The 22,306-nt window shown below is 38.7% G+C and overlaps 1 long non-coding RNA gene across 1 annotated transcript in view; it reads right to left on the bottom strand.

Annotated features, from left to right (window-relative positions):
• Nucleotides 1–16,037: 16,037 nt before the first annotated feature.
• Nucleotides 16,038–22,306, bottom strand: part of LAMA4-AS1 (LAMA4 antisense RNA 1) — a 70,088-nt gene continuing 63,819 nt past the window's right edge. The window contains exon 3 of the long non-coding RNA NR_121193.1: nucleotides 16,038–16,392. This is a non-coding gene — a long non-coding RNA (LAMA4 antisense RNA 1). The remainder of the gene's footprint in view (nucleotides 16,393–22,306) is intronic.

Here is a 22,306-nt window from a genome sequence, read left to right as displayed (position 1 = left end):
AAGGAGCAAGCCCTCCTCTGAGACAGGAAGACAGATCATGGGAACCCACGTGAATGTGAAGAAGGACAGCAGGTAGGTACCAGCTGTTGGCTGATAGAGGGCTTACCTGGGACCTAACTGTCCTCACTAAAGGAACAGCAAGATCATCTGCTAAGACTGAGAAAGAGGGCACTAAAAGGGGGCAGAAGTGTGGTGAGCATTGGAAATCTCTGAGGGAACTGGAGAGTTCAACAACTTACGAACAAGTGAAAGCATTGACAGGAACTGCTAAGGACTCTGTGAAGGCTCGAGGCTCGCAGTCAGTTGTTTAGCATTCCCTATTCTGTCAGGAGATGTGTCTTTTCATCCAGAGTGATTACTCTCCTGAGCAGGAAAGCAGAGCAGGCAGATAGAGCCAGCGTTCAGTTTTGCTTGTGAAAGCAGTGAAACGATGTAGTAATCAAGATGCAAGGTGACTGGCAAGAATTATTGCAGGCCAGAAATAAACTGAGGCTCTTGCACCAGTGTTGGTGAGGTTTTTCTCCCTGTTCCATATTTTCCAACACCCCTATTCAAGACCAAGTTGAGCCAAAAGTTAAATCATACGCCCAGGATATTTCCTAGAGAGTTCAAGTATTTCACAGTGTGGGAGCTTGACCTACAAACATTGCTCCTGGTGTGTAAGGAAATGAGCTTTTAAATCAGATCCTTACAGCAAAACATTAGAAACCAAGAAATATGCATTAACCCCTACACATCCCATGGAGAAAATGGATGGGCATACTCTGAATTCAAAACAGTGTTTGTGGTATGGCCCTGAGATGGAATTTTTCCCCGACTGTCACAGACAAGAATGTGGCCAGTTTTGACAATCTCTCCAAAGAAACAAAGTTCTTCCTTGGTTCACAAATCATGACAGAAATGTCATAACTTCCTTATGACATCTAAAATCCTAAAAAGAATTTTAGAGTTGGAAGAGAGAGCTAAGATCAGGTAGGTCACATCTTTAATTTGTAGAGGAGGAAACTCTCTAGAAACTCCAGTCCAAGGGGGTAAAGAATTTTCAGCAACATTCAGAACAAGAATCTAATTCTGCTCTTGTATCCTGCTATCTCTCATATTAGAATGTAATCTTTTTGTTTCCTTTCTCTAAAATTGTTTATGTGAGTCTTATTCCTTAAACACTTAAAAATGTGCATTTTAAAGAATTTTAGAAGCTAGCCAGAGACATCATTCAAGAAGTATTTTCTGGCAAGGATAAGTTGGGCTAAGTAAGAGATTGCAATTTTTGCAGATTTAATATAGCTAAAAACAGGGATTTGCAAAAAGGCAGTATATTATGGACTAAAACCCTTACTCTAAAACTTACTACCTGAGTGCCTAAATTATTAAGTTAACATCTCTATATGTCTATTTTCATTTTCACAAAATAGGTAGAGTAATACTATTTTAGTACTATTTTATACGGTTTTTACAAAAATTATAAGCAACGTCCTTAACAGAGACGATGAAATGAAAGAATATTTTCAAAACAGCTATTGTTGTTGCTACTCTTGCCAAAAAATGTTTGCTTAAGTTTTCTGTGATAACAGAGTAATCAAATAGTAATGACTTCCCAGTTCAAAAGATTCCATGGGGCTGAGAGTCAGCTTCCTCTGAATCAGCAGGGAAAACTTCACCTCTGAGCACATATTCTTTACATTTAAGACTCAAGGACATCAAGTTCCTAACATCTCCGAACATCAAGGTTTAAACTTTAGCCATCAGATGGTGGTGAGGGCCCCCTAAATGTGCCTGTCTCTCCTCCATCAGTCTCCCAATCTGGAGTGTGAGATGTCCCCACCCCGTGCCCCATGTCAGCGCACACAGCTTGCCTCTTTCACAGCACCCAGCACCGTTGATTCTTTTTTATTTTTATGGTACATGGTAGGTGTATATATGTATGGGGTACATGAGATATTTTGATACAGGCATATGATGCAATAATCACATCAGGGTAAAGAGGGTATCCATAACCTCAAGGATTTATCATTTCTTTGTATTATAAACATTCAATTATACTCTTTCAGTTATTTTAAAGTGTATGATAAATTACATTTACTGTAGTCACCCTGTTTTTCTACCTAATGCTAGATCTTATTCATTCTATCTAACTACATTTTTCTCCCCATTAACCGTCCCCATTTTCCCCCACTCCCCACTACCCTTTCCAGCCTCTAGTAGCCATCATTCTACCATCTTCATGTATTCATTTGTTTTAATTTTTAGCTTCCACAAATAAGTGAGAACGTGCAAAGTTTGTCTTTCTGTGTCTGGCTTATTTTACTTAAAATAATGACCTCCAGTTCCATCCATGTTTTTGCAAATGACAGGATCTCATTCTTTTTTACGGCTGAATAGTACTCCATTGTATATATGTACCACATGTTCTTATTCATTTGTCTGTTGATGGGCACTCAGATTAATTCCAAATCTTAGCTGTAGTGAATAGTGCTGCAACAAACATGGGAGTGCAGATAGCTCTTCGATTTACTGATTTCTTTTCTTTTGGGTATATACCTAGCAGTGGGATTGCAGGGTCACATGGTAATTCTATTTTTAGTTTTTTAAGGAACCTCTATACTGTTCTCCATAGTGGCTGTACTAATTTGCATTCCCACCAGCAGTACATAGGGGCACTGTTGATTCTTATCTATCTTCTTCAATGCATCATGAACACTTCAAGAGCAAAAAATTAATCTTACTCCTATTAATAATCCCAGTCACTAAACAGATAATAAATACTTGTTAAGCAGTAAGTAAATAAGACCAAGTTTCTGCTCTACCCTTACAATGAACTTCAACCCAGCTTTAGTTTAGCTAAGGGGCACTTCAGCTGATTAAACCTGGTGTCTTCACTTAGCGAATGAGGCTGACTATTGTTCTCTCTGCTTCTTTTCCATCCAACAAGTCTTGATTCCTACCTAGTACTTTGAGTTTTCCTATCCAATGAGGAGAAGCTTTGACTACAAAGAAAATTATAAAAGAACTATGTTGCCTGGGTCATATCCCAGGAAAATATAGTTGTTTATAATATAATAGAATAGCGTTGAAGAAACTCAAATTCCTCAATATGCCCAAAGTAAGTTACTGGGTCAGTGTGTAAAATCTGGTTCAGGATAAATTAGCCAGAAACAATGCAGTTTCAACTCATAAATGAGTGCGTACACTTAGGGAGGCCTTCAAAGGTATCAATATGTCAAGGTTATGCTCTGCAAATATAGAAAGATGACAGGACACTGGCCTCACTAGTGAACAGCTAGCCAGATAATAAAAGATGAAAAGTAAAGTGTTACTCTTTCGGGCGGCAGAAAACAAAAAGAAAGGCATCCTCTACCACATAAATTGTCCTGTTGTCAGAAGTATTAAAAAGAGGAGAGGCAGGAATCAGTGGACTGTGAACTGTGCCAGTTCGACCCACAAATTGCACCTTTGTCTGCCAGAAGTGTGTGCCTTTGCAATTTAGCCCTTTTCAGTTTTCCTATTTGGACCAAGTTTCACTCACACACTCTCAGCTGGTGGTGGAGGAGTAGAGATGGCACAATGGATGACAGCCTCGGGCATGTGATACAGCTGGATAAGTCCAAGCAAACTGATCCCTTTACTAAAGAAGACCTGGAGTGACAGTGGATTCCAATGAGACCCCTACACACACTACAGGTTGTAAGGTGGAGGAGCCTGCTCACTGTCTCATAGCAACTTGTCTAGGTCATTTTCCCCTAATCTACCTAATCTTGTCACAATCCCAATTTTATATTTATTTTACATTAAACTTTTTTAAAAATCATTTTTGATAGTGTAGACCATCACTACTTCTCAAAGGATGATTCTGGAGGCCTTCTAGCATCTCCAAATTCTGGAACGCAGTTACTACAAAAAATTATTTTCCCTCTCTTTCTTCAATGAAAGGCTAACTGGATACTTGTACACCAGTTTTAAATGTAATTGATAGGTGGCCAATTACGTGCACTCATGCGAGAAGAAATTCTCTCACAAATGTGTTTTTGTCAAAGCCTGTGAAATTCAAACTGAGTACAAATTTATACTTGCCATGGGCCCTTGAAGATAACTTGTGAATACTGAAAACCTCCACATTCAGCCTACCCGGCTCTGAGTAATACTCACTCAAATCAGAGTGGCCATCTTTGTGTCCCAGTTTATCAGGTAAATATTCGTATTTCTGCTCACCTTGTGCTCTGAGTTCATTTACTTATTCATTATTCTATAAAACCCTTGCTGAGCCCTGACTGTGTCAAGCCCACGAGATTCAAAATTAAATAAAACACAACTCCTTATCCTTGAAGACTATGCAATGCACTGAGAGAAGATAAATAAAAATATATTACAGTCCAGTGAACTAATTGCTATGGACAGAATTGTTTTGCTTTGTTTTTTAAGATAACGTTTTTTTAAGTTAGGAGCCTACAAACAACATAAATCCTAAGAGCAAAATTCTGGACATAGAGCAGATTTATTCCCTCAGAAACTATAGTAAACTATTTTAGAAAAATTGAGAATTAAAAATGATTTACCGGGCTGGGTGCAGTGTCTCACGCCTGTAATCCCAGCACTTTGGGAGGCCGAGGTGGGCGGATCACGAGGTTAGGAGATGGAGACCATCCTGGCTAACGCAGTGAAACCCCGACTCTACTAAAAATACAAACAATTAGCTGGGCGTGGTGGCGGGCGCCTATAGTCCCAGCTACTGGGGAGGCTGAGGCAGGAGAATGGCGTGAACCCAGGAGGCAGAACTTGCAGTAAGCCAAGATGGCGCCACTGCACTCCAGCCTCAAAAAAAAAAAAAAAAAAAAAAAAGATTTACCTTGATTAAATTTGCTACTGACTGAACAAATCTCATCAGATAACTAAGTGAACCAAGCATGCTATCAAGTAGCAAAGCCAAAACTTGAACCTAGCAGAGGCATCTCCCCTGCCATAACCATGAGCTCTAGGAAAGGAAGAAAGACAATTTCCCTTGTATCCTATGTTAAAAGAAAAATTTTTGACAAATTAAATTTAACGGAGTTTATTTGAGCCAAGAACAATTCATGAATGGGACAGCACTGAGAACCAGAAGAGAGGTTCAAAGAACTCTGCCTGGCAGTGTAAGCAGTAAGCTGTTGTTTGTTTGTTTGTTTGTTTGTTTGACAGAGTCTTGCTCTGTTGCGCAGTCTGGAGTGCGGTGGCATGATCCTAGCTCACTGAAGTTTTGAATTCCTGGGCTCAAGCAATCCTTCCACCTCAACCTGCCTTATTTGGACATTGTGTGATGAGACATTTGGCTTATTTGGGCATGATGTGATGAGTTGGCTACTGTGATTGGCTAAAACCTGGGGTTCCTGTGATTGGCTAAAATTCCGTCATTTTTTATACTCTTATGTTAGGTTTTAGCTTGTTTATTTATTCAGTTTATGGTTTGCTATGTAGGAACTCAAAGTATGGAGTCAGCCTCAGGCTAATGGCCTCCTGCTTACTTAACTTAATACCTCCCTTGCCCTCACTAGGCAACCCATGGGTTGGTGAAGACACTGATCTCTTCATTATAAATCGAAAGTGTCCAAATGACACTAGAATCTCTACACTAAAGACAGCTCCCCAGAAAAAAAGTCAAACGGCCGGGTGCGGTGGTTCACGCCTGTAATCCCAGCACTTTGGGAGGCAGAGGCGGGTGGATCACAAGGTCAGAAGACCAAGACAATCCTGGCTAACACGGTGAAACCCCGACTCTACTAAAAATACAAACAATTAGCCAGGCATGGTGGCGGGCGCCTGCAGTCCCAGCTACTCGGGAGGCTGAGGCAGGAGAATGGCGTGAAACGGGAAGTTGGAGCTTGCAGTGAGCCGAGATCGCACCACTGCTCTCCAGCCTGGGCGACAGAGTGAGACTCTGTCTCAAAATAAATAAATAAATAAATAAATAAAAGTCAAGCAAGAGCATTCAATATCAATTGTATGGATGGCCATTCACAAATATTCCAGAGCAAGAGTTGTTTACAGAACCTTGCCACAAAGCCTCCTGTGTGAACTCAGAACATAACATAAACTTCCCGTTTATCAGATCATCTAGCTGTGACCATTAATAATTCTAATATCACACTGCGTTTTGAGGTCTAACAGCCTGTTTTATTTTTCATTTTAGAATGGGAATTCTTCAACTTTCTCATGATAAGAACTTCCAGGTGCTTCCAGATGCAGTAGGTAGATCATTTTATAGGGTAAGTGGAAACCATCAGGAATGGTGTCCATATACAGAGTTTCAAAGCATCTTACATGGGATACAAATCCATACCACTGAAGAAGCATGGTAAGCCTTGCATTAATTTTAAAATGAACATGGTATGAAAGTTACATTTTGAAAGAAACACACAGAATAAAATGAGGTAAGAATCAGGGGTTCTGGAGTCAGGTATAACTGAATTCAATTGAGAGTAGCCCTCTTAGTAGCATATAAACTTCAGTGAGTTATTTATTTTATCTGAGGCACCAATTTTTCTCTGCAAAATGTGAGAAAAAAAATACCTATCCTATCCTATCCTGAAGAGGCCCCACAAAGTTAAATGAATTGTTTATGTAACATGCATGGCATGTTACACTCAGTAACAGTGCCTTGGTTGCAAGGGCAGAAGAGATCATTTGTAGGATTTTTGCAATATTCGCTCCATTTGTAATGATTAGCTCTAAAAGAAGGGATGTTTTTCTAGACTCATGTCCCAAAGGGCATATTTTAATATTGGGTGTGGGATGGGGAGACAGGTTGAAGTCTGTAAAAAAAACTCTTCGCAGCATGGCATATGACTTTATGTCTGGCAGCTGATGTATCCCGAGGAAGATTTGTAACCTTGAACCAAGGATAAAAACCTGCAATACTGACATAAGCAATGTTCAGATGGAAAATAATTGTTCCATTCTTTGCCTTTCTAAACAACCCATTACTCATTCTTTCAACAAGACCTAACACAATTTTGTCTGTCTCTCCTAGGTTCTATTCTTTGTTGAATGAGAGAGAGCATATATACTTTATTCATAGCATAGCTTGATATAAACACGTCTTTGCAAGATAGTGCTATCATCTGGATTGTTACTAGGATACAAGTGTTCCATCACATTCTTGGGGAAAAAAAAGAAAACTTGTACCCAGTGGACATATTCCAGCAAGCATAGTGAGCATGATCCACCATTTTGGGCTCAAGAAAAAGGACTCCATGCAGGTTAATCAGAACTTTTTATGAAAACTATTCAAAAGAAGTTGAATATACTCCTGAAACATTTACAAAAGAAAAAAGTGGGACCTAAAACTGGCCACATACTTTTTAATTATTAAAGTTGAACATTATATTGTATGTGCATTTATGTCTTTTCTGTGATTTGTATGTTCATGACATTTGCCGATTTTTCTATTACAGTGTTTATCCTTTTCTGTATTATTCAGAGTTTTTAATGTTAGAAATAGTGATATGGCTGCCAAACACATAGTAAATATGTTCTAAGTTTGGGGAAATGCAACGTAGTCAAATCTGTCTTTTCTTTTGTTATCCCTTTCATTGAAACATCTCTCTTTTCCTTAAAACCTTATATTACAACTCTTCTTAATGACATCTAATGCTGCAGAAAGGTCTAGGAAGATGACCAAAAAGCAGCTACCTGATTAAACAATTAGAATGTCTTTGAGCACTTTTAGAAGAAATTTCTTGTACTTGTGAGCTTTGACCCCAGATTGCAAGAGTATAAGCAATAAGCGCAGACCAATAGTTCACAAGCTTTTGTGTGAAGGGAAATTGGCAGCATCATAGGCTACAGGTGGGGGTAAAAGTTAAGGTGAAGGTACTGACTTTGATCTTGAACTCTGGCAGATCAGATATGCCTTCAGAGAGATGATGTTTCTTCCTCATGGTGGTAGTGACCATCTTTGGTTACAACCTCTATCCTCAGAAAGGAACTCTATGACCCTTTTGGGCCTCAGAATGTGATACCCCAAAGACTGGTGCTTTGGCCTGCTGGGAGGCCTTAAAAGCTGCCTCAGAATCAAGGTCCATTCAACCTTGTCTTTTCCTCACCCTACAAGTCAATGAGGGACTCTTTCTGAAATTTTCTTGTCTGACCAAGAAAGCTTCTTTCCAAAAGAAATGCAATTGTCTCAAGACTCATTCCCTAGAGATCTCATCAAATAACCTGGAAAGATCAACTACTGGAGGACAGAGAAGACTGGGAGTCATCACCATACCCAGACAGACTTCATCAATTCATCTGAAGGCAGCTTCAAGAGATTACCTAAGAGGCTGTTTCTGTGGACCATTGTCTGAGCACTGGGCCTTTTGTTTCCCCTGAAAATCACTTACTCCGATACATCTTACTTCCCTCTCCCTTATGAAGAGGGCACTTAAGCCTAAACCATCTGGTCCCTCCTTGAGTTCATATTTTATATGACTCCCATACACATGTGTGCACATAATAGGACTATAATAAACTTGTTATGCTTTTCTTTGATTAACCTGTTTTTTGTTGTTATGGGGTGTCAGTCATGACCCTTTATGATAAGGAGGAAAGAGATCATATCCTCTCCACCCCTACAACCCTATATTAGGTGGTATCTCAAGGGGGAAAATACATTCTGGATCATCATCATCATCACCACCATGGTAATAAATTAGTTTGAAAACTTTGAAGCATTTCTTCATACTATTTTTAACCTCAAGTGTCAAAATGAGACAAGTAGAGGGGTATTATTATCTCCATCTTACAAAAGAAGAAAATTAATTTCAGAGAGCTTAATTGACTAAACCCAGTATGGTATCCCAGAGTGAAATTCTAGACTATATTCTTATCATCAGAAACATACAGTTGGGATAAGCTGAAGGAACAATTAAGAGTACTCAAGAGAATATACACAAATTAAATACTAATAAGATTAATACATAAATACAATAAAATACTATAATGCATCATACTAATAATAAACGCCAAACAGGTAACTGAGAAAGGATTATACCAATGTTGGCTGGATTATTAAAGAAGATTTGATGGAAATATTTGTATTTCAAATGGGAGTTGGATATTGGCAGGTAGAGAGAAAGAAAACATTTCAGACAGAAGAGGATGAGAAAGTACTGAGGTAGGAGTGCCAGCCTGGTATGGGCAGGAAGGAGGCCGACCTGATTGGAATAAGCATTGTTAGGAGCAGGGTATTAGGCTAGATAAATCAAATCAGGATTTGAAGGGCCTAGAATATCAGGGTGAAATTTTTCAAACTGAACCTTTGAGCAATGGAGATGCATTGCAGTTATTTTACAAGGGAGAGGGAAATGATTAAAGAGTGTTCTTTAAAAAAAGGGGTATGATGAGTACATGCTGAACAGATAGAAGGAAAAGATGCCAGAAAAAATAGTTAAAATGAGAAAACAGCCATCCAGATGTGAAGTGACGAGGCCTTTATGATGGTAGTGGGGATAAAAAAAAAGAGACAATAAAAGAAGTAAATTTCAAATCAGAAATGCTGAAAATCTTGTTCCCAAGTGTTGAGCACCAGGAAGTGGAGATACTCTGATGCCAGGAAAAGAAGATGGGCAAAGAGAGAGTTTTGCTTAGGAAGGGAAATGACCAAGACAACTGTGGGGACATATAGTATTTGGAAAAAAAGTTGGAAAAAAGGGCTAGATAAAATACATCTATATATGCTTATATATTATATTTATGTATATATTTTCTATATATTACACACACATATGTATACTTGTATATATACGTATATATGTATATATACACGTATATATGTATATATACACGTATATATTTATATATACACGTATATATGTATATATACACGTATATGTATATATGTATATATGTATGTGTATGTATATATGTATATATATGTATGTGTATATATATGTATATATATGTTACCACTGTGCTCAAGTAGCAGGCACCCAATAAATGTTTGTTTCCTGCCTAGTCTCCAAGACAACACAGCTTAAGAGGTTACTAATTTAGACATTATAACTAGGATTGTGACAATAGATGAGTCCACAGATGCAACAAATGTAAAAATAACAACAATGACAACAACAAAATTAGAGGTCCTAGAAGTAAGATTCAAGGAGCATTCACAGTTAGTGGATGAGAGAATGTAACAAGGGCAATTAAGGAGCAGGGGAGAGTCAGTTTCCTCTGACTCTCCGAAAACTGTACAATTACCTTCTAAAGCATCAGGTTTAAACCTCCATATTCACTGTTAAGGGGGTGAACAGTAAAATTAATCGAGAAAGCCGAGTTATTCTGCCAAGGAGACCCATTTGAAAGTGAAATAGAGGTCAAAACCCTACTCTAACATGGAAATTGGAAACCGCCAGATTTTTCAATGCTCTGATATAGTTCAAAAAGGGCAGAATTGATGGATTATTAACTATGCCAACTGGCATCGTGGAATTTATGTTTTCTTTGTTATGTAAAATGTACAATCATAACAGAAACATCAAAAACCTGAGAAGGTTCAAGGAAGGGCATAAAACAAATGTAATTCAAATTTTACTGTAATAAATAAAACTAACAGCAGAGGGCTCCCCTCAACGCCTGGCAAATTCTCAAAGCAGAGAAACTACAAATGGGGCACGTTTCTGGTAACCTCTGGTTCCATTCGAAATTTTCTATACATAAGAGAAAAAAAAAACAACTATCCATTAGTAAATAAATTACAAATACAATATTTAGACCTGCAGGTGCTAAAATTCCTTTTTCTCTTTAATTTTGTTTTCCTCACTGTGCTTTTTGCTAATCAGAAACTATTGAAGTTATTAATGCAATAATTCAGAAGGTTCTGGATGTAAAATGCCCAAAGACAGTAGAGGGATTTCTATAGCCTCTCTAAAGTATTTCAGATTATCCACCTGATTACATAAACAACATTTCCAGAAAATTGCCATTTTTTTAACCTATAATCCTGGTATCCAAATGTAGACATTACAAACGCAAGGGAGCTGTACTCAACAGCTAGGAATCTTTAATAATTTGAGGCCTTGAGGAGAACTGACATCTGGTGAAACACCAAAATGGTTTCAAAATAAATCAAAATACTATTTATACTTTTAAAAGATATTTTGAAAGTATTTTGAGTTATTTACAGAAAACAGTACTCTATATAGTAGACTCTGTGTAGGTCATCCATGTTTTCAACCAGCTATTTTTTTATTTATTATGGAAATATGAGTTAAAGTAGCCTTTGCCTCAAAGTGTTGTCATTCATTTTGCACTTTGTCCATAGAAAATGCAATGATTTTTTTCAAAGGCCAGTTTTGTTGTAGGTCAATCAAGCACTCATTTGAATGCTGATTTATTTTTATGGAGATGCATATTTTTGATGGCTTCTTTGGATTCATCACAAGGTATATCACTAACTACACTAGGAGTCAGCAAATTATAACATAGTGGGGGCCAAACCCAGCCACTGCCTGTTTTTGTACGGCCTGAAAGCTGAGAATTATTTTTACATTTTTAAATGACTGCAAAAATCAAAAGAATTCTAACATTTTATAACACATAAAATTATATAAAATTCCAAGTTCAGTATTCATAAAGTTTCAAATTTCATCAATAAAAATTTTGTGGAAATCTGTTTTCTTCTCCTATTATGTAAGTACTTACATGATACTCTCAATTTTGCCTCTTGGCCCACAAAGCTTAATTTTTTTTTTTTCCATTTGACTTAATACAGAAAAAGTTTGCCAAACTCCGAACTATGCAAAATGCCAAAACCATTATTCAATGCTCCTTGGGTTATTTAAAATAATGCAAGATTTGCCCCTTTAACACTATAACCTAATCATCTGCAGCACTGGTTCCCAAAATAATCTGTACTTTGGAATTACTGGGTAGCTTCAAAAATTATTGATGTTTGTGTCCTTGCCTGAGATTGTGACTTAATTGGCCTGGGGAATAACCTGAACTTTTAAAAGATCCCCAAGTGATTCTACTGTGAAGTTTGGAAACCACTGATTTAGTGCTTTGGCAAGTTCAATCCTCCCAGCTTTATCTGGGCGCTCCCTTCTACTGGCAGCCCTTTTTGCTCTTCCTCCAGCACATGGCCCTCTGCAGCTAGCCCCAATTCCCCCAGATCACTTAGGCCTTTCATTCCCACCACCAGAGCTAAGTGACCTTCTCACCAACTCCACTGAGAAGATCAAGGCCAACCCATCCCCAAGTTTTCTTGTTTTACTTCCTGAATGAAATTCTTCCCTCAAGTCCATTCTCTCCTCTCCAGTCCTTCTAGAGGGAATACACCATAGTGGCTAAAAAGGAGTCTTCAATCAGGCAGACATGAATTTAAATCCCTATTCCCATAATCCCAGCACTTCGAGAGGTCAAGGCAGATGAATTGCTTGAACCCAGGAGTTCAAGACCATCCTGGGCAACACGGGGAGACCCCATCTTTACAAAAAATTAAAAATAAAAAAATTAGCCAGGCATGGTGGCATGGTGGTGCCCACTCATAGTCCCAATTACTCAGGAGGGCAGATAGCTTGAGCCCAGGATCATACCACTGTATTGCAGCCTGGGTAAGAGAGCAAGAACTTGTCTCTAAAAAATTGCAATAATAACAATAATAATAATAATAACCCTATAGGGATTTTTGTGAAAATTAAATGCTACTCACAGTGTATTAAATTAAATGTTACTTACTGCTACTTACAGTGTTGTCCTTGGACTAACATCTTCAGCATCACCTGGGCACTTGCTAGAAATTCAGAATCTCAGGTCTCACTCAGACCTTCTGAATCAGAATCTTCATTTTAATGAGATCCAATAGTGATTTGTGTGCACATGAAGGTTTGAGATTCGTGGTGCTAGGAAGCTTTTTATTTCTCTTCACAGTCCACATCCAGGCTGTTTCATCCTAGCCCTTCGACAGTTCCCAATACACATGATATTGATGATGCCCTAGAGTGTGGCTTTTACGTAGAAAAGGAGATTTGCTTGAGTTTAAAAAAAAATTAATGTCAGCTATGTATAGGACAACTTGAAATGAGAAGAGACTGGGGTGGGATCGAGGTGGTTAGGAAATACAGTGTCACCTTCGTGCAACTTAGGAAAAGACACTCCCTCTGAGCCTACAGGACCCCATGCACACCTGGTGAACTAAGACAGCCCTTGGGCAATTGAGAAAATGGTGCCCCTCTGGGTTGACACCACCCTGTTTCAGAGCAGGTGGCTTGCCAAATGCAGCAGGGCCTCAGCCAGTTGTCCTCAGGCAGTGTGTGGCAACCATGCAGAAGGAGGATTGGATGGGATCCTGAACTAGGGCGTGGAAGATTGGAATGAAAAGCAAGGATGGATTCTAGAAAATGCTGAAATGGTGGAGGGCAATGGGGGAAAGACAGGGAGGAATGTGGACCTGGGGTTATTAAGGAAGACTTCTGGGAAGAGGCAAGATTTGACACAAATTCCAAGAGTTTGTAAAATTGAGGTGTAGGATCAAATATTCAAGATGCTATGAACAGGATGAGGTTATGAGAGTGAAGACATTTAGAGAACGTCAGCGGTAAAGCACCATATGGCAGAAAGAACAGTGGACTATAATCAGGGAGGTGGTATTAAAGAGTCTCAATTCATTCAGCTATAAATACAAATTTTATTTTCTTCCAATAACTGTCCCCAATAATCCCAGATCAAATCCTCCCTAACAACACCTGAGCCCTATTCCATGTTTTCTTAGTCTCTTTGTTTCATTTAGATTGCATGTTGTATCTCATTCAAAACTTCCTTTCCCTTTCCCTAGCCAGGGGTGTAGTCTTTATCACATGCTTTCCCTTTCCTCCCTCTTCCCTGAGCTATTCCTTGAGTATTGGGGCAGGACAGTGAGGTTGCAGACCTCTCCTGCACAGCCCCCTCTGCTTGTCTGTGGCTCCACCATGCTTCACCTTCTCCAACATGCTCCCTCCATGAAGCAGCTCTTGACACTGGAAGCTCCTTGAGAAATTTGGCCACATCTCTGGCTGACCCCAGCTGACATTATTGCATCACATTTCTTTGTCCCTCACTGGGGAATTGCTCTAGAGATAATTGCCCCTGTTATAGGAAAACCTCTGGCATGTTAAAATTTTAAAGAGTTTATTAGAGCACATGGCAATTCATGAATCAGGCAGCTCCAAACCAGAGGTAATTCAGAGCTTTGACAAAGAGACATGAGGGGACGTTTTTATGAGGTGAATCAAAGAAATTGTTTGATTGGTTGAAGTTTGAGCAACTGCCTTATTTGAACTAGCCCAGTGGGAAGTTTAAGACAATACAGCTAATGCCCATTTGGCTGCCTGTGATTGAATGAACTTAAGTTTTATTTTCTTTTAAATTCTGAGTTAGATTTAGGTTTGCTTACATAGGAACCCAGGGCATTAGAGTCACCTCAGTCTAATGACCCCCATTTAATTATTTAACACTGCAACCTCATCTATACCCTGTGGCCAGTTCCTAAGTCTGCAAGGAAGAGCCATGTCAGTATCTCTTGAAAAGGGGCCTATGTTAATGGGGGCGGGGAAGGGGGGGCAGTGAGAAATCCTGGTGACCTCTCCACCTGATAGTCCTTTTCCCAACATGCAAGTTGGTGACCCTGTGTTTCCTCACCACCTCGATCCTACCCCAGTCTCTCCTGATTTCAAGTTATCCTATAAGTAGCTGCCATTAACTTTTTTTAAACTCAAGGTCACACATACGTGCCCATGTGTGAACGCACACATACACACACACACACCCTAGCAGTTCAAAGGCAGGCCACCAGCTCTGCTAACTAAGCAGGCACTCAACCATGGAATGAAGTGTCTGCCTGCCCTTTTTGGCCACCCCCACATTTATGAATGATTCTCTTGGACTTCCCCTTCTTGCCTCTAACAGAGGAGATGAAGAGGGGAAATGAACACTTTTCTTCCCCCAGATGACTCTCTTCTCAGTTTTCTAAGGTCAGCAGGGATCAAGCGACAGTGAAGCAGTGTGTTCAAGCCTGTTGGAATAATGCCTCTCAGAAAACCCTGCAAGGAGCTAGTGGGCCCCAGTAGCTGCAGTTATTGGGGCTTAGAATTTGGGGCATATTCTCTACTTTTAGCCTTACTGACAATCCGAGGACACCAGGGAAAACCCTGGTGTCACAGTTTTACAAGATTAAGAAATTAATTCTAAAGGAGGGGAAGATGTTTCCCTAAGTTTACATATTAAATAAGAGATAGGATTTAAATACCAATATCATCCTCCTTTCACTGGTTCTTGATAAGTCAATTTACCTATACACAACCTGAAAGCTTTTGAACTAGATTACTCCAGGAAAATGAAAGGGAACAGCCACATTTCATAAGCACAGCCATCAGTCTATCCCAGTGAATACCCCTACATGCTTTTTACAAATTGTTATCATTAGCCATACTGAATGCTGAACCAAACTCACTCATCAGTTACAAGCATCTCAATGTGTCACATTAGTTTAAGAGAAAAATTAAAATCCAATCCCTATTATTCAATGTACCTATTACCCCACAGACTTTGACTTGGTGAATACTTGGGCAAATACTAAAAGGCATGAACACAACCAGTTGGTGAACAAGGAAGGACTTCCCCTTAGGAACACTGCTTCACCTACATCAAGATACTCCAACCTATAGCCAGGGACAGCTACACCTGATCCAGCTTCCTATACCTTCAGAGAGGTTAAGCTGGAGATCATCTTAACTAAACATTTATTTTTAAGTTAGGTCAGGTCTATACAAGCAAAGGGAGAGAGAATGTGCTACCATCCACTAAAGCATTTGGTTCCTCTCCAAGGAACAAACTAAGATCATTTGCGATGTGAGTGAGAGGTAGGACACTGCATATTTACTTAAATTTTTAAGATACTGAATATTTATCGCCATCTTTTTGTTTTACTGGGGATTAAAAGGCTTGCCTGTATGGAGACACTACTCTGAGAAAGCTGGTGCAGGGCTGTGCCTGGGAGGTCCATAAATACCACTGGATCATTCAAAGTGCTTAAAGGCAATTCAAGTCAAATGTTACTCAGCGAACACGTACACTATTTATTTACCGAGCACCTGCTCTGTGCCCAGCACAGTGAGGGGTTGTACTTCATTTCTCAACATATTTTCTCTGTGAGCCAAAGAGATATTTTCTTTCCTTTTGTTCTAAAGGCACAACGGAAAGATATGGTGATCTGACCAAATTCTTACTGTCTTTTCCATCCTTGTTGTTTACTGATCCTAGGTTCAAGGCACATGCTGCCTAGGTTCAAGGTCTCCAGTTCTTTCCAGATGAAAAAGCTGCTTTTCCTTTCTTGATATAATTCATTTTGAGTTGGCATCACTTGGGAAATTCTTGCTTGCTTCACTTAACTGAGTTCTTAGTCCAGTCCTAAAACCAGATTTTTTAAAAAGAAAGGAAAGAAGGATGGATGGAAGAGAGGAAGGAAGAGAAAGAGGAAGAGGAGAAGAGATGGAGGGAGGGAGGAGGAAAAAAAGGCTAAGGTTAATTCTAGTCCCTAGGTTTACTGTCTCAACCCATAGCTTTTTGAAGGGGAATTAACATGCCTGCCATTCACTAGATGCTCAATATTGTAGGGGAAAGAGCGCCAGAGAAGTATTCAAGCACTACTGTTAAAAAGCTGTTAATAACTCTCTCGTTGTGGTTAGATGGTGTATTTCCCTCATTTATATGTGTATTCTCCTCGTCTTGAGCAGATATGATCAGTAAATATTTAATGAATGAGTGAAAGAATAAATAAATGACCAAAAGCAACCTGATTGTTTAAGTGCCTGCCTGTGGGAACTAATGATCTATAACACCTGGTGGAAGGAAACAAAGACGCCAAGAAAAATCTCTGAGACAGGCCGGTTGCGGTGGCTCACACCTATAATCCCATCACTGGGAGGCCGAAGAGGGCAGATCAAGAGCTCAGGAGATCGAGACCATCCTGGCCAACATGGTAAAACTCTGTCTTACTAAAAATACAAAAAAATTAGCCGGGCATGGTGGCAGGCGCCTGTAGTCCCAGCTACTGGGGAGGCTGAAGCAGGAGAATCACTTGAACTCGGAAGGTGGAAGTTGCAGTGAGCTGAGATCGTGCCACTGCACTCCAGCCTGGGTGACAGAGTGAGACTCCGTCTCAAAAAAGAAAAGGCTGCAGAGGGGTGCTGCTAACCCAGATTCCATGTTATTGGCCAAGGGGTAACCTGTAGGTGCAGAACATTTAAAACATGTAGCAGAAACAACAGAAGCTGCTATAGTTGGAAGATCTTTCTTAGGGCATGGAATAATGGAAATTTAACCAGCTTTCTTTGTAAAAATAGCTCAATCTTGTTTTTACAAAGAACCAAGCTATCAATTATCTTATTAGAAGAAAAATTTTATAACAATGCAGGATATAGAAAAGAGAAGCAAGAAGTGGGAACAGAGAAAGGAAGAGAGAGGAAGAGAAAGAGAGAGACTAGTTTCTTCCTTTAGTCAACCTGGGAGTACAGTAATGAAATAAAGAGTATGCCTCTGCTTGACAGATGGCATTATGCTCCAACTAATGCCATGTATGAAACATCAATTTTCTGCTAATGCCACTGAGAAAAGATGAAGAACTTCCAATGGATCAAGGCACCTTAGTTAGTGATGATCAGGAGTGCACAGACTTCTTGCCAAGTTTATATCAGAAATGGAAAAAGAATGAAGTGCAACAACAAAATTTATATTCTCCCTTAGTCCATAGCTGAAACAAGCTTCAGTGTTGGAGATTAATGTAATATCATTCCCTCAAGTGTTTTGTTTTCTAATGTGCTTGCCTGCTCCAGGAGAACTGATGTTTAGTAGAAAATGCAGCTGCATATAATCCATCGAGTGGGTGTTGTTATGATGTCTGTGTTTTTCTTTAAAATACTTCAGCATACCAGAATATGTAAGAAACTCAAACAAACCAGCAAGAAATAAAAACAAACAACCATTAAAAAGTGGGTAAAGGACATGAACAGACACTTCTCAAAAGAAGACATACACACAGCCAACAAACATATGACAAAACTCTCAACATCTCTAATCATCAGAGAGATGAAAATCAAAATCACAATGAGATACCATCTCACAACAGTCAGAATGGCTATTATTAAAAAGTCAAAAATAACAGATTTTGGTGAGGTTGCAGAGAAAAAGAGAACACTTATACACTGTTGGTGGTAATGCAAATTAATTCAGCCCTTGAGGAAAGCAGTTTAGAGATCATCAAACAACTAAAAACAGAACTACCATTTAACCCAGCAATACCATTTCTGGGTATATACTCAAAGGAAAATAAATCGGTCTACCAAAAGGACACCTGCACTAGTATGTTTATCAGAGTACTATTCACAACAGCTAAGACATGGAATTAGCTCAAGTGCCCATCAGTGGTGGGCTGGATAAAGAACATGTGGTACATATACACCATGGAATACTGTACAGCCATAAAAAAAAGAATGAAATAATGTCTTTTGCAACAACATGGATGCAGCTGGAGGCTGTTATTCTAAGCGAATTAACACAGAAACAGGAAACCAAATATCGCATGTTCTTATAAGTGGGAGCTAAATCTTGGGTTCACATGGACATAACCATTGGCACAACAGACACTGGGGACTACTAGACTGGGGAGGGAAGAGGAGGGGCAAGGGCTGAAAAACTTCCTATTGGGTATTATATTCACCATCTGGGTGATGAGATCAGCAGACACCCAACTCTCAGCATCACACAATATACCCTTGTGACAAACCTGCACATGTACCCCCTGAATCTTAAATTTAAAAGGAAATTTTTAAAAATACAATAAAAACAACATCACAATGAGATATTACTTCACACCCACTAGGATGGCTATAATAAAAAACACAAATAATAATGTTAAAAGAAAACCTTCAGCCAAATTAAATTTAAAGGAGTTTAACTGAGCAATGAACAATTCGCGAATCAGGCAGCCCCCAGAATCACAGCAGATTCAGAGACTGCAGCACAGTCAAGTGGTGGAATGAGATTTATAGACAAACAAAAAGGAAATGAGGTACAGAAATTGGAAGTGAAGTACAGAACAGCTGGATTGGTTACAGGTTGGCATTTGCCTTATTTGAACACAGTTTGAACACTCAGCAGTGTATGAATGGTTGAAGTACGGCCACTGGGATTGGCCAAGACCTAGCTATTATTACAGGCTCACACTCTTAAGTTAGATTTTCAGTCTTGTCTAACTATTAAGTTAGGTTCCTGTTCATCCACAAGGACTCAAATATGGAAGTACGGATTCCTTCTCAGGCCATGTTTAGTTTGCTTTAACAATAACAAGGCTGGTGAAGATGTGGGGAAACTGGAACCATCCTACATCGTTGATGGAATGTAAAAATGGTGCAGTCACTTAGGAAAACAGGTTGGCAGTTTCTTAAAATGCTTAAACTTCACTTTAACATTGGTCCAACTCCTAGCTATCTACCCTAAATGAATGAAAACATATGTTCACTCAAGGACCTATATATATATAAGACATATATATATATATATATATATATATATATGTTCATAGCAGCATTATTTGTAATAGTCAAAAAGGGGAAACAACTATATATATGTTCATTCACTATGTATATATATATATATATGTTCATAGTGAATGAATGACAAAATTCAGTGTGTATATGCAATGAAATACTATTCAGCAACCAAAAAGGGTGAACTACTGATACATGTTACAATGTGGCTGAACCTCAAAAGATTATGCTAAATGAAATAAGCCAGATACAAAATCCACACATTATATAATTCAACTTACATGAAATATTCAGAAAATCCAAACCTATAGAAATAGATAATAGATTAGTGGTTGCCTGGAACTGGAGATGGAATTCGAAATTGGCTGCAAATGGGCAAGAGGAATCTTTCTGAGTGACAAAAATATTATAAAATTGGATTGCTGTGATGGGTGCACAACCCTATACATTTTCTAAAATTACTAAATTGTACACTTACAATAGATAAAGTTTATATTAAAGGAAAGTAAATTGCATCCCAACAAAACTGTCTTACAAAAAAAAAAAAAAAAAAACCCTCAGCACAAACAGCATGTATTGGTTTAAGTACAGCCTTAGGTATTATCTGTTATCTGAAGCAGAAATTTCTGCCCTCGGGTTGCTTAGTTAGCTAGTCAGCAGTTAGTTGGGAAGTCTGCACTCCAGAGGCTAGCACAAGTCTTCTTGCACGGAGGCTTAGGAAATTATCATAAAGAATATCAGAAATAGGCTCTCAATGATGAATTAATGACATGCTAGATATACAGATGAGCCAAGGAAATGGTTTCAAGATACTCCTCACACTAGAATAAGAACCTGATAAGGCCTGTGGCCTGTGCCCTTGTGACCTGAATCCTGTTGAAAGGTCATAAAACTTCTGTTTCTCTGATGTCAACTCTCAGGATAAAACGATTCTGCTTTTGGGAAATCAGTGTGTCTGCCTCAAGTAAATCAACCTTCCATGTAACAAGTGGATGAATCACCTAAAGAAAAGACCTAGGAACTCCTGAGACTTACAGTAGGTGGCATGTAAGGTAGAAGATATGTAGGATGGGCAAGTCTAGTGATTCCATGTACAATGTGAGGACTACAGTTAATAAAATTATATTAGGGAATTCTGTTTGGTAGATTTTTAGCTGCTTTTGTCACAAGAAAGTAGTAATGTGAGAGGAATATGTTTTGATTTGCTTCACTACAGTAACCATTTTACTATCTATTTGTATCCCATAACATCATGTGATAAACCTCAAATATACACAATAAGATTTATTTAAAGAAAAAAACAATAGGTGGCATGAACCGGCCTGGCCTCACTTTGTAATCAATGGTAACAAATGTCTCCACTCAGAATTGTGACTCGGAATTGTGAGACTCTATTTCATCAGCACATGATGTTAAGGTGGTGAGAGAAGAACTAAACTTCACTCACATCGAACTTGTTGGAACCTCCTATTTTCTGCCAAATATAACTGAAGAGGTGAGCATTTCTAAAATGGCATGGATCAATTTGCTATCCATAATTAAGTTTAATAGGAAGAGCTGCTACTCTCTAATTTGCCTTTCAAGTGTTGAAAAGTGCAGCTCAGAAAAGACTCCCTTGAGTAGCAGCCCCTCGTGCCTGGATATTGACTGACAATTCTAGCTGCTGATGCCAGGGACTATCCTTGTTTGTGACTTTGGTCTAATCCTTGTAATCTCTGAAACAGGCTGCCCCATGCCACACTGGCCAATTGTTTCTCATCTCTGAATGCTGATTTCAACAGTCTGACATTTTCTTTGGTTTCCTGTTCCACATGGTCTATGTGCCCAACATGTCTGTATATCAATATGTCTAAGATATTAATGTAGATTGGTATGATGAAGAACATTGGTATACATTTTAGACAGAAGATATTTCAATAAAGTGAGCATTGACTTCCAAAAATGTCAAACATGCAATCCACAATTCACCATTAAGCTATAATAAATACAAGCCATAGTTGTAGCTGTGTTTAGTAAATACATTTTCAGCTGAGACTGAATGGTAACTTTGGCACAGAAATAACTTAGACAAAGACTATTTGATTCAATGTTTAGAAGACTTGGTGATAGCAAATTGGCTCATCACAACTGATATTTTAAAGCATATTTCCTTAGAGGTTTCAAAATATTTTATCAAGAGTTTTCATCTCTTAATTTTTAAAGCATTACTGTGCTTATTTAGCAGATGAGTAAACTGAAGTATAAAAATTCTTATGTCTAGTCCTGCAGTAGGATATACAAGTACAAAGACTAGATGAAAACAGTGCCTCTTTGGGCATATATTTTAAAAAATCCAAACAATACAGGAAGATATCTGAAAAAATTAAGTAATGCTAAAAGGAATATAAAGAAAAATAGCACTATATCTGCCCCACCCTTATCCTGCCCTGCTTTCCAATGGCACCAGTTTTTATTCTTTTAACTATTTTTTCTAATATTCACCTTCACATTTTTAAACATTCTACACATGCTGCTATTCATTGTTTATAAAGTTTACACTGTACTCTATTGATTTCCTATGTGAAAGTTGGAGATTCTACTGACTTTTGAGCCCATTGACAAGATCAAATTTACACAAAGAACTCAGAATACGAAGAGGAAAGAAAATTTCAGGAGCATTCTTTGGAGAAATTGGTGCTGTGACTACTAGCCCCCTTTTCACCTCAAGGACAGGAATGCTATGTCAGTTTCAACTTGCTTTGCCTCAAGTCTAAAAACAGTAGGCTCCAAAGTGACCA

This window comes from Homo sapiens, chromosome 6 (genome assembly GCF_000001405.40).
Source record: "Homo sapiens chromosome 6, GRCh38.p14 Primary Assembly".
NCBI classification, from domain to species: domain Eukaryota; kingdom Metazoa; phylum Chordata; class Mammalia; order Primates; family Hominidae; genus Homo; species Homo sapiens.
This window is presented reverse-complemented; position numbering and strand designations above follow the sequence as displayed.